Below are 14602 nucleotides of genomic sequence, written 5' to 3' on the forward strand. Positions count from 1 at the left end.
TGAGCCATGATAGTACCACTGCACTCCAGCCTGGGCAACAGAGCAAGACCCTGTCTCTACAAAAAATAAATTAGCCATGTGTAATGGTGCACACCTGTAGTCCCAGGTATTCAGGGGATCGAGACAGGAGGATCACTTGAAGACAGGAGTTCAAGACCAGCCTGGCCAACATAGTGAGACCTTGTTTCTGCAAAAAATTTAAAAATTAGCCGGGAGAGGTGATGCACACTTGTAGTCCCAGCTACTTGGGAGGCCGAGGCAGGAGGATCTCTTGAGCCCATGAGTTCAAGGCTGCAGTGAGCCATGGTCAAACCACTGCACTCCAGCCTGGGCAACAGAGCAAGACCCATCTATTAAAAAATAATAATAATAATAAAAACAAATCTGAAAGTAAAGAAGTAACAACCGGTCCCCATTTCCTGCCAGGTTGTTGTCTACCCGTGATTCCTGGCACAGTTGGGGCAAGTCCCCGGAGTGCAGGAGCCATGTTGCCTGCGTCTTTGTAACTGTCCCATGGCCAGGGGGCTCAATGGATGGCAGGCTGCCGGCCCACGATGTCAACAGCAGGAACTTGTGCCTCAGTTTCCTCCATCACCTAAGTGTAGGCCTCTCACCATGACAGTTCCCTTCCTGGGTCAGATGGTACTTGGGGGGTTCCCTTCCAGAATTCATTTTCTTCCCATTCTCTGTTCTTGGCTAACAATCTTTTTCTTTTTTATGAGACAGAGTCTTGCTCTGTCACCCAAGCTGGAGCACAGAGGCGCGATCATAGCTCACTGCAGCCTCCAACTCCTGGGCTCAAACGATCCACCCACATCAGTCTCCAAAGTAGCTGGGACCACAAGTGCATACCACCATACCCAGCTAATTTTTGTATTAATGTTTTGTAGAGACGGAGCTTCACCATGTTGCCCAGGCTGGTCTCGAATTCCTGGGCTCAAGCGATCCTCCCACCTTGGCCTCCCAAAGTGCTGGGATTACAGGTGTGAGTCACTGCGCCTGGCCCAATCATTTTCTGTGTCAAAGAAAAACATATATATGGTATATTATTTTTTAAAGTCACATTCTTCTTATAGAGATGTGCTCTTTGTATACATTTTTTTCCCCTTGGCAAGTGGGTAAACGGGATTCCGGGAAGGTAACTGTCTTGACTAAAGTTAGCAGAGTCTGGCATCAGGTGGACCGCACAGGACGGCCACTTCTTCTTTTGTTTTTTTGTTTTGTTTTGTTTGAGACGGAGTCTCAATCTGTCTCACCAAGACTGGAGTGCCGTGGTGCGATCTCAGCTCACTGTAGCCTCCACCTCCTGGGTTCAAGCCATCCTCCTGTCTCAGCCTCCCGAGTAGCTGGAATTACAGGCATGCACCACCCCACCCGGCCAATTTTGTATTTTTAGTAGAGACGAGCCTTTACCATGTTGGCCAGGCTGGTCTCGAACTCCTGACCTCAGGCAATCCACCCACCTCAGCCTCCCAAAGTGCTGGGATTACAGGCGTGAGCCACTGCGCCCAGCCAGGACGGCCACTTCTAATCCATATTCTTTTCCACAGCTGCAGCCACAGCCATGCAGCGTCCTTTAGATTCTCCTTCTTCTTGAGTATTTTTATGTCTTGCTTATCACCTTGTTTCATTGCAAATGGAATAGTAGCAGTCAGCATCAGTGCACGCTTTACAATTAATGAGTGACGATGGAGGGATACCTGACTACTGTGATGCTCTTCACTTTTTTTGTTGTCTTATTGGGTTTTTTGTTTATGTTTCATATGTTAAATTTCCGACGTACGCGTGACCTGGTGTCAGCATCTCCCGTTCATGGCCCATCCCGTCTCACCTGTCCCCACTCCTGTTTTGACTTGAAGCTACTCCCAGAATCCTTTCATTTCCTTTCTAAACATTTTAACACACATATCCTCACAATAAGGACTTTCTTTTTAATATAGTCACAGCGCAATTAGCACATTCAAAAATAATTTTTCACCTGCAGTCCCAGCAACTCAGGAGGCTGAGGTGGGAGGATTGCTTGAGCCCGGGAGGTTGAGGCTGCAGTGAGCTATGATCACACCACTACGCTCCAGCCTGGGTGACAAAGCAAGACCCTGTCTCAAAAAAAAAAAAAAACAGTAAAAATAATAATCATAATAATTTTTTAATATGATCAGGTAAATCTAGCCAGTTTTGAAATTTCTAGTTGCCCCCAAACTTCATAATGGTTTTATTTTCTAAAATTATTTTAATTTAGGCTGGGCGCAATGGCTCACGTCTGTAATCCCAGCACTTTGGGAGGCCGAGGTGGGTGGATAACTTGAGGTCAGGAGCTTGAAAACAGCCTGGCTAACATGGCAAAACCTCGTCTCTACTAAAAACACAAAAATTAGCTGGGTGTGGTGGCACACACCTGTAGTCCCAGCTACTCAGGAGGCTGAGGCAGTGGAATCACCTGAACGGAGAGGCGGAGGTTGCAGTGAGCCGAGATCGCACCACTGCACTCCAACCTGGGCGACAGAGCAAGACTCCGTCTTAAAAAAAAAAAAAAAAAAAAAAATTTGAATCTCGATTCAAGTAAGATCCACACGTTGCAGTTGGCTGGTGTATCTTTAAGTCTTGGTCATTGTATAGATTCCCTCTTCGTCACTTTTTCTTTTCCTTGCAATGTATTTGTGCTAGAAATGGGGTCATTTGTCCAGAAAAGATTCTCCACCCCACTGCTGAGATTTTACTGATTGCCTCCCCAGAAATAGTTTATCATGCTCCTCTGTCCTCATGCTTTCCTGAAAATTTGTGGTTGAATCTAGAGGCTTGATCAGATTCAGGCTAGAAGTTTTTGGCCAAAAGCCCCTTTGTGGGTGATTGTGATGATCTCGCGATGGTGTCAGGTACTGGAAGTGAGCGCTCACCAGAAGAGAAAGGTCCTGACTTTGATACACAATCATAATGAATCCAGGCATGGAGCTTGGTGGTTTACAAAATCTTTTCCTTTCTTTTTGTGTTCTTGTTTTATCCTCATGCTAATTTCTTTGAATTTCATGGCTCCTCCTGTATAGGTGACTGTCCAGCTCAGAAGTCTGTCCAAGGTCAAACAACTAAAAGACAATGGGAGGGCCGGGCGCGGTGGCTCACGCCTGTAATCCCAACACTTTGGGAGGCCGAGGTGGGTGGATCATCTGAGGTCAGGAGTTCAAGACCAGCCTGACCAACATGGTGAAACCCTGCCTCTACTAAAAATACAAAAATTAGCTGGGCATGGTGGCAGGCTCCTGTAATCCCAGCTACTCATGAGACTGAGGGAGGAGAATTGCTTGAACCTGGGAGGCAGAGGTTGCGGTGAGTCGAGATCGTGCCATTGCACTCCAGCCTGGGCAGTAGAGCAAGACTCCATCTCAAAAATAAATAAATAAAAATTTTTACAAAATAAAAATGCAGTGGAGAAGAATTCCAACCCATTTTCCACCAGCCACACTCTTTTCTGTAGACCACAATTTTCCTAATTTCACTTGATTTTAAAGAACAAAGGAACCTGCACACCCAGCCTGCTCTCCACTTCTTTGGGTAGAGCAGGGCTGTTAGAACTCTAGAGAGATGCAGGAAGCAGCCGCCGATGAACCCAGATGCTCATCCCTGGAGGCACTGTGCGGTCTCAGGAGCAGAAGCCGAATGAATTATGCAATATCAGAGCCTCATTCCCTGGGCCGCAGCTGTCCCATGTTCCCTGCCTGGAGATGACTGAAGCCCGAGTGACAGTCACAGGCTGTTCCCGATCACGCTGGGGTCACACGCTCTGGTGAGCACCCAGCCGGCCAGAGCTGTGCTATTGGTTTGGCACAGGTAGAAAGTTGACCCCGCACGTGCCGTAGAAGGTCATTTCGTTCGGTTCATCAGCTATACTCGGACTGGCTAAAGGAAGATTTTATTGAAATCGTTTCCCATGAACACGTCAACTTGTGGGGCAGGAAGGGAAATTTTCTTCCCGTTTGGGATTGAAAAGATGAGGCTTAACCAAACTCGTTCTTATGTTCGTTGGTTTGTTTTTTCTTTCTTTCTTTCTTTTTTTTAAACAGACTCTCACTCTGTTGCCCAGGCTGGAGTACAGTGGCGTGATCTCGGCTCACTGTAACTTCCACCTCCCAGGTTCAAGCAATTCTGCCACCCCAGCCTCCTTAGTAGCTGGGATTACAGGCGCACGCCACCACACCTAGCTAATTTTTGTATTTTTAGTAGAGATGGGGTTTCACCATGTTGGCCAGGCTGGTCTCAAACTCCTGAACTCAAGTGATCCACCCACCTTAGCTTCCCAAAGTGCTTGGGATTACATGAGTGAGCCACTGCGCCTGGCCTAAACTTGTTTTTAATCATTACTTTTGTATCATTTAAATTAGTATAATGGTAATCTACAGAGAACAAATTCTGGTTAATTTCTGAGCAGACAGAGGTGACATCCTGGCCGTTTAACTGTCTCTCGGCACAGTGTTACTTCCAGCAAAAATGAAAACCGCTATTTCCAGAAGGTTATCTGTAGGGATAAAGCTCCACAGACTGGACCGACTCTCTTTCCAGGCCTTTGATTGGGGAGGGGTGGGGCCACCGTGGAGTGTGACACATTTGATCCGGGGCTTGGCAGATGCAAGATGGCTTCATCCTCCCCTCTACTTCTGCCAAAGCAGAAGTGGTTTAACCTTGGGTGGAAAACGAAAGATAGGGCAAGTCATACAGATGAGGGCTGCCAAGAAAACCTTTCCCCGAAAAACACTCTCTCCTCCCCTCCTCCCCTTCCCCATCAGCCTCCGTGTCTTCAGTCCTGACCTGGTTCACAGATCCGTGTTGGGCACGGGGATGAGTGATGAGTGGTGAGCTGGGCCACCTGGTTCTGCACTCCAGGACCTCACGGTCCATTGGACAAAAAGAAGCCTAATTCTGGGTCTTTCAATACTTCTCCCCCAAGACTATTATTGCCTTGTTTTTCAGAGGCTCTGAAAAGCGAATCATTTTCCTTCTGCAATAACATCTTGTAGGCTCTTTCCTTAAAAGTTGTATTTACAATTTGCCAAAAGAATTCTACCCTTTCTGCCCTTTAGAATACTAGCCAGTGAATGGCTGTCTGTCAAGAAGACAGGGGACCTCAGGTATCACAGGTGTCATTAATTTGCATATTTGGGCCGGTGCGGTGGCTCATATCTGTCATCCCAGCACTTTGGGAGGCCAAGGCAGGTGGATCACTGGAGATCAGGAGTTCGAGACCAGCCTGGCCAACATGATGAAACCTGATCTCTACTAAAAAAATAGAAAAATTAGCCGGGCATGGTGGCGCATGCCTGTACTCCCAGCTACTCGGGAGGCTGAGGAGGCGGAGGTTACAGTGAACCGAGATCGCCCCACTGCCCTCCAGCCTGGGTGACAGAGCGAGACTCCGTCTCAAAAATAAATAAATAAATAAATAAATAAATTTGCATATTTGGTCAACCAGTATTTTGTGAGTACCTGCTGTGTTCCCTGGAACTATGGCAGTGGATAAGCAAGTAATCAATATATGAACAAGAGACTTTGAGACGGGAATAAATGCAACAGAAACAAAATGAATGGACAATGGAGAGTGTGGCTGTGGAGAGGCCTCTCAGAGGAGGGCCAGGAGGGCTGAGACCCAGGCCTGTAGGTGGGACAAGCATGGTGCTTCCAAGAAACAGAACAGGACTAAAGAGGCTGGGCACGGTGGCTCACACCTGTGATCCTAACACCTTGGGAGGCCAAGGCAGGCAGATCACCTGAGGTCAAGAGTTCGAGATCAGCCTGACCAACATGGTGAAACCCCGTCTCTACTAAAAATACAAAAATTAGCCAGGCGTGGTGGTGCACACCTGTAATTCCAGCTACTAGGGAGGCTGGGGCATTCTCAAGAATCACTTGAACCCCGAAGGCAGAGGTTGCAGTGAGCTGAGATTGCACCAGTGCACTCCAGCTTGGGCAACAGACCAAGACTCCGTATCAAAAACAAACAAACAAAAAAACAAAAAACAAAGAAATGCCCATCTTTTATTTTAAAAATCTTAATAAAATAGGGATATAGTTGGATATTTCATTAATAAATGTATATATATAATGTATTTTATATATAACTACACATTAATGTATGTGTTATATATATATAATATATTAATATATATATATTATATATTACTCAAGAACATGAGTAAGTTCTTGAGTGGTGATTTGTGAGATTTAGGTGCACCCATCACCTAAGCAGTATACACTGCACCCAATATATAGTCTTTTTTCCCTCACCCCCCTCCCACCCTTTCCCCGCAAGTCCCCAGAGTCCTTTGCATTTTCATCGCTTAGCTCCCACTTACGAGTGAGAACATACAATGTTTGGTTTTCCATTCCTGAGTTACTTCACTTAGAATAATAGTCTTCACTCCCATGCAGGTTGTTGTGAATGTCATTAACTCGTTCCTTTTTAGGGCTGAGTAGTATTCTGTCGTGAGATAAGAAATATTCAAAGGGTGTGGGAAGAGACTCTGCCGTCTTTATTTGCAGATGTGGTCACAGGATGCCTCGCAACCCCGAGAGAGCCACTGAAAAGTTGTTACAAAATTGAACAGGCTTCCATTTCCCTGTGGCCTCTCTCTCTAGACAGCCGTACCTCTCTATCCCAGTGTCCCCTGCTCAGTAAATCTGTACTCATCCTCCAGGGTACAGACTGGATGTCCCCTACTCCGGGATACTGTTTCTCCTGGTGTCTGCAGAGGCCCTTGTACCACTTTCTGGGATGTCACTGTGCTGAATCGCTGGTGGCTGCCATTTCCTTCCGCCTCCCACTGGGTAGACAGGAAGGGGGTCCCTGCCCACCCACCCACCCATGCCCGGTATATCCCTGCTGAGCTCCTAGGATGTGCAGGGTGTATTCCTGTGTGCTAGCGAGAAGGGAGTCCCAGCGCCACTACGCCATTGCCCACTCCTCCCCTGGGACATTTGTTTCCCTTGGGTGTGGTTCATGGTAGGTGCCCCATGGGCGTTATTGGTGGGAGACCTCCCTGTCTCAGTCTGAGCTGGGCCCATCGCCATCAGGGCACGACAGCCACAGCAGGTGCCTTTGCTGGGAGTAATCTTGCCCTGGCTCGCATGAGACTGCAGACCAGCCCTTCTCCGTAAGTTCAGGCGTTTGTGCTCCGATCAGCTTTTCCTATAGGTTTGTCCCCCACCCCTTGCCCAACTCTTTGACCCCCCGAGTTAAGGGGATTCCAGACCTAGAGCCAAGTGACCTTCCTCAGAGCCTGGCCCTGTCTCCACCGCTTCAGCAACCTGCTCTTTCTGGACAGGGTCCAGCGAGCCCCACCTCTGTCCGTTTCCTCTACCCCCTGTGCTAAGGAAGCCTCACCTGCAGTGTAGGTTGTGGTGAAAAATGTCCCCCCTTAAGGACAGAGCAGGTCATCACGTGCAGCCCTGGGGTAGAAGGGGAGAGTTCGCTTGATCAAACCTAACTGGAGCTTTTCTTTTAAAGCAGGAAGAATTAATCTGTAGATATTTCTCCTTTCAATGCCAAAGAACTTTATGATCTGGTATTGAGACTATTGGTGGGTTTTTTTTGTTTTCTTTGTTTTTTTGTTTTGTTTTGTTTGAGACAGGGTCTCGCTCTGGTACCCAGGCTGGAGTGCAGTGGCACGATCTCAGCTCACTTCAACCTCTGTGACCGGGGTTCAAGCGATTCTTCCGCCTCAGCCTCCCGAGTAGCTGGGATTACAGGCGCTCGCCACCATGCCCGGCTAATACTTGTATTTTTAGTAGAGGCAGGGTTTCATCATGTTAGCCAGGCTGGTTTCAAACTCCTGGTCTCAAGTGATCCACCTACCTCGGCCTCCCAAAGTGCTAGGATTACAGGCGTGAGCCACTGGGCCCGGCCGAGACTATTGGCTTATGAATCAAGTCTAAGAAGATACACTAGTCTTTGAAGGCCGCTCTGTATGTTTTTCCAACTGCCTTGTAGATATACTTTGTTTTAACAGCTCGTTTTAACAGCTCCTGATGCCAGCGTGCTTATTTGGGTATTGAAATATGCGCCAACACCGTGCCCCGATGCCACGCGTTAGCCCCCAGGAGGCTTGCGTGAAAGTAAATACTAGAATTTCCAGCGTGGATATAATTTCCCTTCCATCGACCTTGACCATGTCCTTTTCAGTTCCTCATAAAAACTGTGTGTTAGCCCAGAGAATACCCTGAAATGATCTGTGGTGAACTGATTGAACGAACTACATATTCTAGGCCAAACTGAAATTATTCGCTATTTGAAGTCAGAGCTGAGCATAATACCGGGCAGGTTAATAGATCAGTGGAAGCTGTTTCGTCAGCTCATAAAAACGTGAGAGATCTAAATTTTTATAATAAATCATTTTGCTGAGCAAACAATATGTGCGGTTATTACAGACTTTGGAAAATAAATGATTTTAGACCAATGTCAGGCTGCAGATACTGATGTGGTTAGTTGAGCCTTCAGCATGAAGAGAATGAAAAATCTTTGGAATACTGTTGACACTCACACCATGAAACCACATGCCATTTAATTCATTACTGCGCTTCCAAGATTACATTTACAGTTGTGGTATTAACCCCTGGGCATTTTTGTATTACTTATTGCAGACAGTTTGTCAGGCAGGATTAATTCAGTGGGGGGAGGAGGCAGCAGTTTGGAGAGAAAGTGGATGATTAAGACTGGGGTGGGGCTGGGCGCGTCGGTTCACGCCTGTCATCCCAGCACTTTGGGAGGCCGAGGCGGGTGGATCACCTGAGGTCAGGAGTTCGAGACCAGCCTGGCCAACACGATAAAACCCCGTCTCTACTAAAACTACAAAAATTAGCCGGGTGTGGTGGCGCATACCTGTAATCCCAGCTACTCGGAAGGCTGAGGCAGGGAGAATCGCTTGAACCCAGGAGATGGAGGTTGCAGTGAGCTGAGATCATGCCATTACACTCCAGCCTGGGCAACAAGAGCGAAACTCCATCTCAGAAAATAAAAATAAAAATACAAAAATTAGCTGTGATTGGGTGTGCCTGTAATTCCAGCTACTTGGGAGAGGCTAAGGCAGGAGAGTCACTTGAACTGGGAAGGCAGAGGCTACAGTGAGTTGAGATTGTGCTACTGCACTCCAGCCTGGGCGACAGAGTGAGACTCTGTCTCAAAAAAAAAAAAAAAAAAAAAAAAAAAAAAACCTGGTTGGGAGGTGCCCCAAAGCAAGACCCGCCTCCTTGGTCCTGGTCTGCAAACACTGATGGCCACACTCACATCTTCCAAAGCCCCCGATCGCACTTACTCAGCTAGTTGTATTTTTCTTTCGGCTTTTAAAAAAGAATACCTCCTTAGAAAAATTAATAATGGGCCAGGCACAGTGGCTCAGGCCTGTAATCTCAGCATTCTGGGAAACTAAGGCAGGAGGATCGCTTCAGGCCATGAGTTCAAGACCAGCCTCGGCAACATAGCAAGATCAACTTTGTCTCTACAAAAAAGAAAAAACTAGCTAGGTGTGGCAGTGCATACCTGTAGTCCCAGCTACTCGGGAGGCCAAGGCAGGATTGTTTGAGTTCAGGAGTTTAAGACCAGCTTGGGAAGCATTGTAAGACCCCTGTCTCTAAAAAACAAATTTTTCTTTTAAATTAGCTGGGCTTGCTAGTGCACACCTATAAGTCCCAGCTACTCAAGAGACTGGGGCAGGAGGATCACTTGAGCTCAGGACAAGAGTTGGAGGCTGCAGTGAGCTATGATCGCACCACTGCACTCCATCCTGGGCAACAGAACCAGACCCTGTATCAAAAATAAAAAAGAATTCTCAGAAAAATGAGTAACAAACATACAGATTTTTGTTTGTTTGTTTTTGTTTGTTTGTTTTTTTGAGACAGGGTCTCACTTTGTCACCTAGGCTGGAGTGTAGTAGCACCATCTTGGCTCATGCTCCTCCTGCCTCAGCCCCTCAAGTAGCTGGGACTACAGGCATGCACCACCACACCCGGCTAATTTTTGTACTTTTAGTAGAAACGGGGTTTCACCATGTTGGCCAAGCTAGTCTCGAACTCGCGACCTCAGGTGATCCACCTGCCTTGCCCTCCCCAAGTGCTGGGATTACAGGCATGAGCCACTGCATCTGGCCGACTTTTAAAATAATAATCAGAGCGTTTCCTCGCCAACTGCATCCCTGGTTCCTCCCATTGTCTCCTCCTGTGGTTTCTGGTCCCTTCTGTGAATGGAGACAGCAGCCCCTCCGAGCCTGGCTGTCACCACAATCCCTGGTATGGAATAGGCCTGCCCTGCAACTGCAGAGTGTGGTGTCGTCATTGTCATTCGAAAGCCTGGGGAAAGAGAGTTGCTTTTGTCATGAAAGGTAAGTGCAGTCCTTGTTATCACATTCAGTATTTTGGTCCGTTTAGCAGTTGCTTAGTAACCAAAGCACAACTGACCAGGAGATGGAAAACTTGAAATTCACTTCCAGGATTGCCTCACACTGCCAAGTCTGCACCTTCCCGCGTCAGTGGGACTGATTTTTTTATAAATGATGTGAAATCTTCTGGAGATGAGGCGTGGTTTTCCGGATATTCGGTGTCCTGATGAAAATCCAAAGCCATGTGCTATCTGAGAAGAAATCCAGAGAGTGTGCACTTTCCAGGAGGTGCCCAAGCCCCACCCAGGCCCCATAAACCTGGCAGGAACTGGACTCGACCCACATGGACCCCAGCCCTGCCAAGCCGGCCTCTGTGTAAAGCTGGGCCCCTGGAACTTTGCTCTTCTCTATGCCTGGGCCTTTGGCCACTGGCAACACCAGGTCGCAAGTGAGGAGTGGATGAAAGCAGCCAGGGGCGGGCCAGCACCCCCAGGCAGCCACGCCTCCAGCTTTTCAGCTCCGCACTCCCAAGATCAGGGAGCTGCACCCAGGGAGACGGTGTCCTCCTGTTGCTGCTGCTCCCGGAAGAGTCAAGGCTAAGTAAGCTACCTGGCCAGAGGGTTTTCCTGGTTGCCAAGCAGCAGGGAGGAGTCATCGGCAAGGCATCTCAGAGATGGGGGCCATCCCCTTCCCTTCCTTCCTATGTTCGGCAGAAAGGCATTGAATGCCTACCGTGTGTTTTTCTCCTTCAATTCGCTTGAGAGACACGCAGCAGGGCTGGCTTCTCTGTCCTCCCACCGTGTACATTGCCAGAAAGAGCGGCTGGTATCCCTGGAGGACCCAAACACACAAGCAAAAACAGCTGGGCCCCAGAGGAGGGCAGTGCTTCTGAAAGACACACCCAGACCCCAACAGTGGGTGTGATATGAGGCAGGACAGCTGGGCCACAAAGACAAAGCACCACAAAGGCACTCAGGGAAACAGAGGAAGATATTGGCAGTGTGAAGCGAAACCAACAGGTAATTTTCAAATGGACCAAGTGGAAGTAACAGCGTAAAAAAATTGAATAACTTAGGAGCAAAGAAGAAAGGATACATTGCCAGCTGGGTCTGATGGCTCATGCCTGGAATCTCAGCACTTTGGGAGGCCAAGGCCAGAGGGTTGCTTGAGCTCAGGAGTTCGAGACCAGCCTGGCAACATAGCAAGACCCCATCTCTATAAACAAAATGTTTTTAAGTAAATAAATAAAAGAATCAACACAAGCCTGGAAAATAAAGATGAAGATATTTCCCAGAAAGTAACTAAAAAGATATAGATGTAGATGTTAGAAAGAAAAGAAAATTAGAGATCAATTCAGGAGCTCCAACATCCACCTAATAGGAATTCCAGAAAGAGGAAGTAGAAAATAGTTCAGGTGCAGTGGTTCACACCTATAATCCCAGCACTTTGGGAGGCTGAGGTGGGAGGATCGCTTGAGCCCAGGAGTTCAAGACCAGCCCGGATAACATGGCAAACCCCCATCTGTACCAAAAAAAAAAAACAAATAGAAAAATTAGCTAGGCATGGTGACATGCGCCTGTAGTCCTAGCTGTTAGGGAGGCTGAAGTGGGAGGATCGCTTGAGCCCAGGAGACTGAGGCTGCCTTGAGTCGTGATCACACCACTGTACTCCAGCTTGTCTCCAAATAAATAAATAAATAAATAAATAAATAAATAGCTAAAGACCAGTTAGATCAAGTTAACCTTGATCCAGAAGGCAGCAAGAAAAGGATAAAGAAATAGCAAAATATAAAAGAAAAGTTAAATGACATGGAAGACAGAAGTAGCTATGCCAACAATATCCAAATAACAGTAGTCTCAAACAGAATAGAAGTATTCAAATGAAAATAGCCAGAATTAAAGAAAGAGAGGGCTTATATAGGGGCACACTGGAGCCATTAGGAAAAGTGCTCACCTAGACCCACATTCAGTGTCTCTTCACTCACCAGCCGGACCAGTCCCCATCCACCTCCCAAGTTCTGCAGCCAGCTCTGCTGATGCATTCAGAGGAGGATTTAGGCAATTGTCAACCTCTGCACATCTTGTTGTGGGTACGCAGCAGCTATGTATTTTCATTGTCATCTTTTAAATCTATGACATAGATGAGATACGCAGGACCTAAGCCTGCATCTCTATGTGCCCATTCCAGCACCAGGAAACTTTTAGGGGTCTGAAACACTAGTGGAGCTAGTGAATGAGTGAATGACGGTAGCCAGGGCAGTTTTGACCTGTGTATGTGGACATTGGAAATACACGATAGGTAACTAACTGAAGTACAAAATTGTGTTTAAAACTTGTGATTTGGGACAGGCGCAGTGGCTCATGTCTATAGTCGCAGCACTTTGGGAGGCCAAAGCGGGTGGATGGCTTGAGCCCAGGAGTTTAAGACCAGCCTGGGCAACATGGTGAAACCTTGTCTCTACCAAAAAAAAAAAAAAAAAAATTAGGTATGCTGGCGTACACCACTAGTCCCAGCTACTCTGGAGGCTGAAGCGGGAGGACTGCTTGAGCCCAAGAGGCAGAGGTTGCAGTGAGCCAAGATCACACCACTGCACTCTAGCCTGGGTGAGAGTGAGACCCTGTCTCAAAAAGAAAAAAAAAAACAACACAAAAAATCCTTGCAATTTGCCTTAAGTAAAGTTTGCAAGCTTTTATTTTGTGTCTGAAGGAGTTTACGCTCTGAATTCTTCAACAGGGCGTCAAGGTAGCAGCTTTCTGCATTGACTGGTGATTATCCTTTTCTGATATGTTTTAAGACCCTTAACACTTTTAATTTTTTTAATTACCATTTGTAGTATTAGACTATCTTTGCACAGCAATTTTTCTGTCAGATCTTGGAGGTTTCACTTTGAGATGATACAGAAGGATGTTTCATCATTTAAGAAGCCCTGACCCTTCCCCACTCCCTGCACCCAGCACTGTATTGCAGAGGCCCAGTTTGGGTATTTATCTTACAGAGACGCTGCCTTCTTCATGAAATCGTCCTAAAAATAGCTTCATTTAACTAGGCCATTTGACAGGCTTTTTCAGACTTTTTCTCAGACCAGTCTGAAAGCCGGATATTATTTCAAACAGATACAATGAACATTGAACCCGATCACAAGGCATCTGTTACCCTATTCAGGCTGCTGGGAGTTGATAAGACTACCTCAAATCGCTGTGTGTAGTTAAAGGCTGCAAAAGCCTCAGGCCACAAAAATTCCCCAGCCCAGGGGCCCGGAGACAGTTTTTCCAACTCTCAGCGTCCAGGGTGTACCTTAGCCTGTTTTCTGTTGCTGCAACAGAACACCTGAGGCCAGGGTGATTTATAAAGAAGATAGGTTTATTTGGCTCACAGATCTGCAGGCTGGGAAGTTCAAGGACATGGCCCTGGCTCCTGGCGAGGGCTTCCATGCTGCATCATAACAGTACGGATAGGGTCAAAGGGGAGGTGGATGCGTGCCAAGAGGGACAACCCAGGGAGGTTCCTGGCATTATGATAACCCAGTCTCAAGGGAACTCATCCAGTCCCTAAAGTCTGGTCAGAGCAAGAACTCATTCACTGCCAGGAGAATGGCACCAAGCCATTCATGAGGGCATCCACTGCCATGACCCAAACACCTCCCTCTAGACCCCACCTCCCAATGCCCCCACACTGGGGATCAAATTTCAGTAGCAGTTTTGGTGGAGACAAACCATAGCAGGGTGGGTGGGTACTCTCACTTGGACGTGCCTCCTTGGGACCATGGAGCAGGTTTCGGAAGGATAGAACTCTCATTGTCAGGCCTGTCCAGCACCCTGGGCTGTCCCCAGGAGTAGACTTGCCCGTCACAGACAGGATGGGCCACATCCAGGACTCTGGCATCCAACGTGACGTGCAGCCCTGTGAATACAGGACAAATTCTAGGGATATAGGGCAAAAGGGACCTATGGCCCAGCATTCAGAGAGAGCTCACAGCGTGGGCACCCAGTGAAAACTCAAACCTGGAAACTAGGACTAGGGACAGTGCCACTTCCTGAGACAGAGCTGCTGAGAGGGTCTGGGAAGGGTGGATGGGGTGGAAGTAGGAGATGAGGTTCCCTGGGACGAGAAGGCATTCAGGCAGGCGGCGCAGGTGGAGGCCTAGTGCCGAGGAAGGCCTGGCTCTTTGGGGTCCCGCACGAGATGGGAGTTGTTAGAGCACAGGGTCCTGAGAAAGAGTGGCGGGTAAGGCCAAGAGGAGGAAGGAGCCT

At 47.6% G+C, this 14602-nt stretch overlaps 1 protein-coding gene across 25 annotated transcripts in view, besides 2 other annotated features; it reads left to right on the top strand.

Annotated features, from left to right (window-relative positions):
• The window catches only part of CUX1 (cut like homeobox 1), a 467952-nt gene that overhangs the window by 326561 nt on the left and 126789 nt on the right, over positions 1-14602 (top strand). The window lies entirely within an intron of this gene.
• Positions 7617-7758: a silencer, noted in NCBI's record as "fragment chr7:101793464-101793605 (GRCh37/hg19 assembly coordinates)". NCBI's record gives its function as "represses an EF-1alpha promoter that drives an FKBP-Casp9 reporter gene in an ReSE screen in HepG2 liver carcinoma cells and K562 erythroleukemia cells {active_cell/tissue: HepG2 | K562}" and the evidence as "EXISTENCE:reporter gene assay evidence [ECO:0000049][PMID:32094911]".
• Positions 10262-10967: an enhancer, noted in NCBI's record as "OCT4-NANOG-H3K27ac-H3K4me1 hESC enhancer chr7:101796109-101796814 (GRCh37/hg19 assembly coordinates)". NCBI's record gives its function as "activates a minimal SCP1, AML or CMV promoter by ChIP-STARR-seq in naive and primed H9 embryonic stem cells {active_cell/tissue: H9 hESC(naive and primed)}" and the evidence as "EXISTENCE:reporter gene assay evidence [ECO:0000049][PMID:30033119]".

Source organism: Homo sapiens, chromosome 7 (genome assembly GCF_000001405.40).
Source record: "Homo sapiens chromosome 7, GRCh38.p14 Primary Assembly".
NCBI classification, from domain to species: domain Eukaryota; kingdom Metazoa; phylum Chordata; class Mammalia; order Primates; family Hominidae; genus Homo; species Homo sapiens.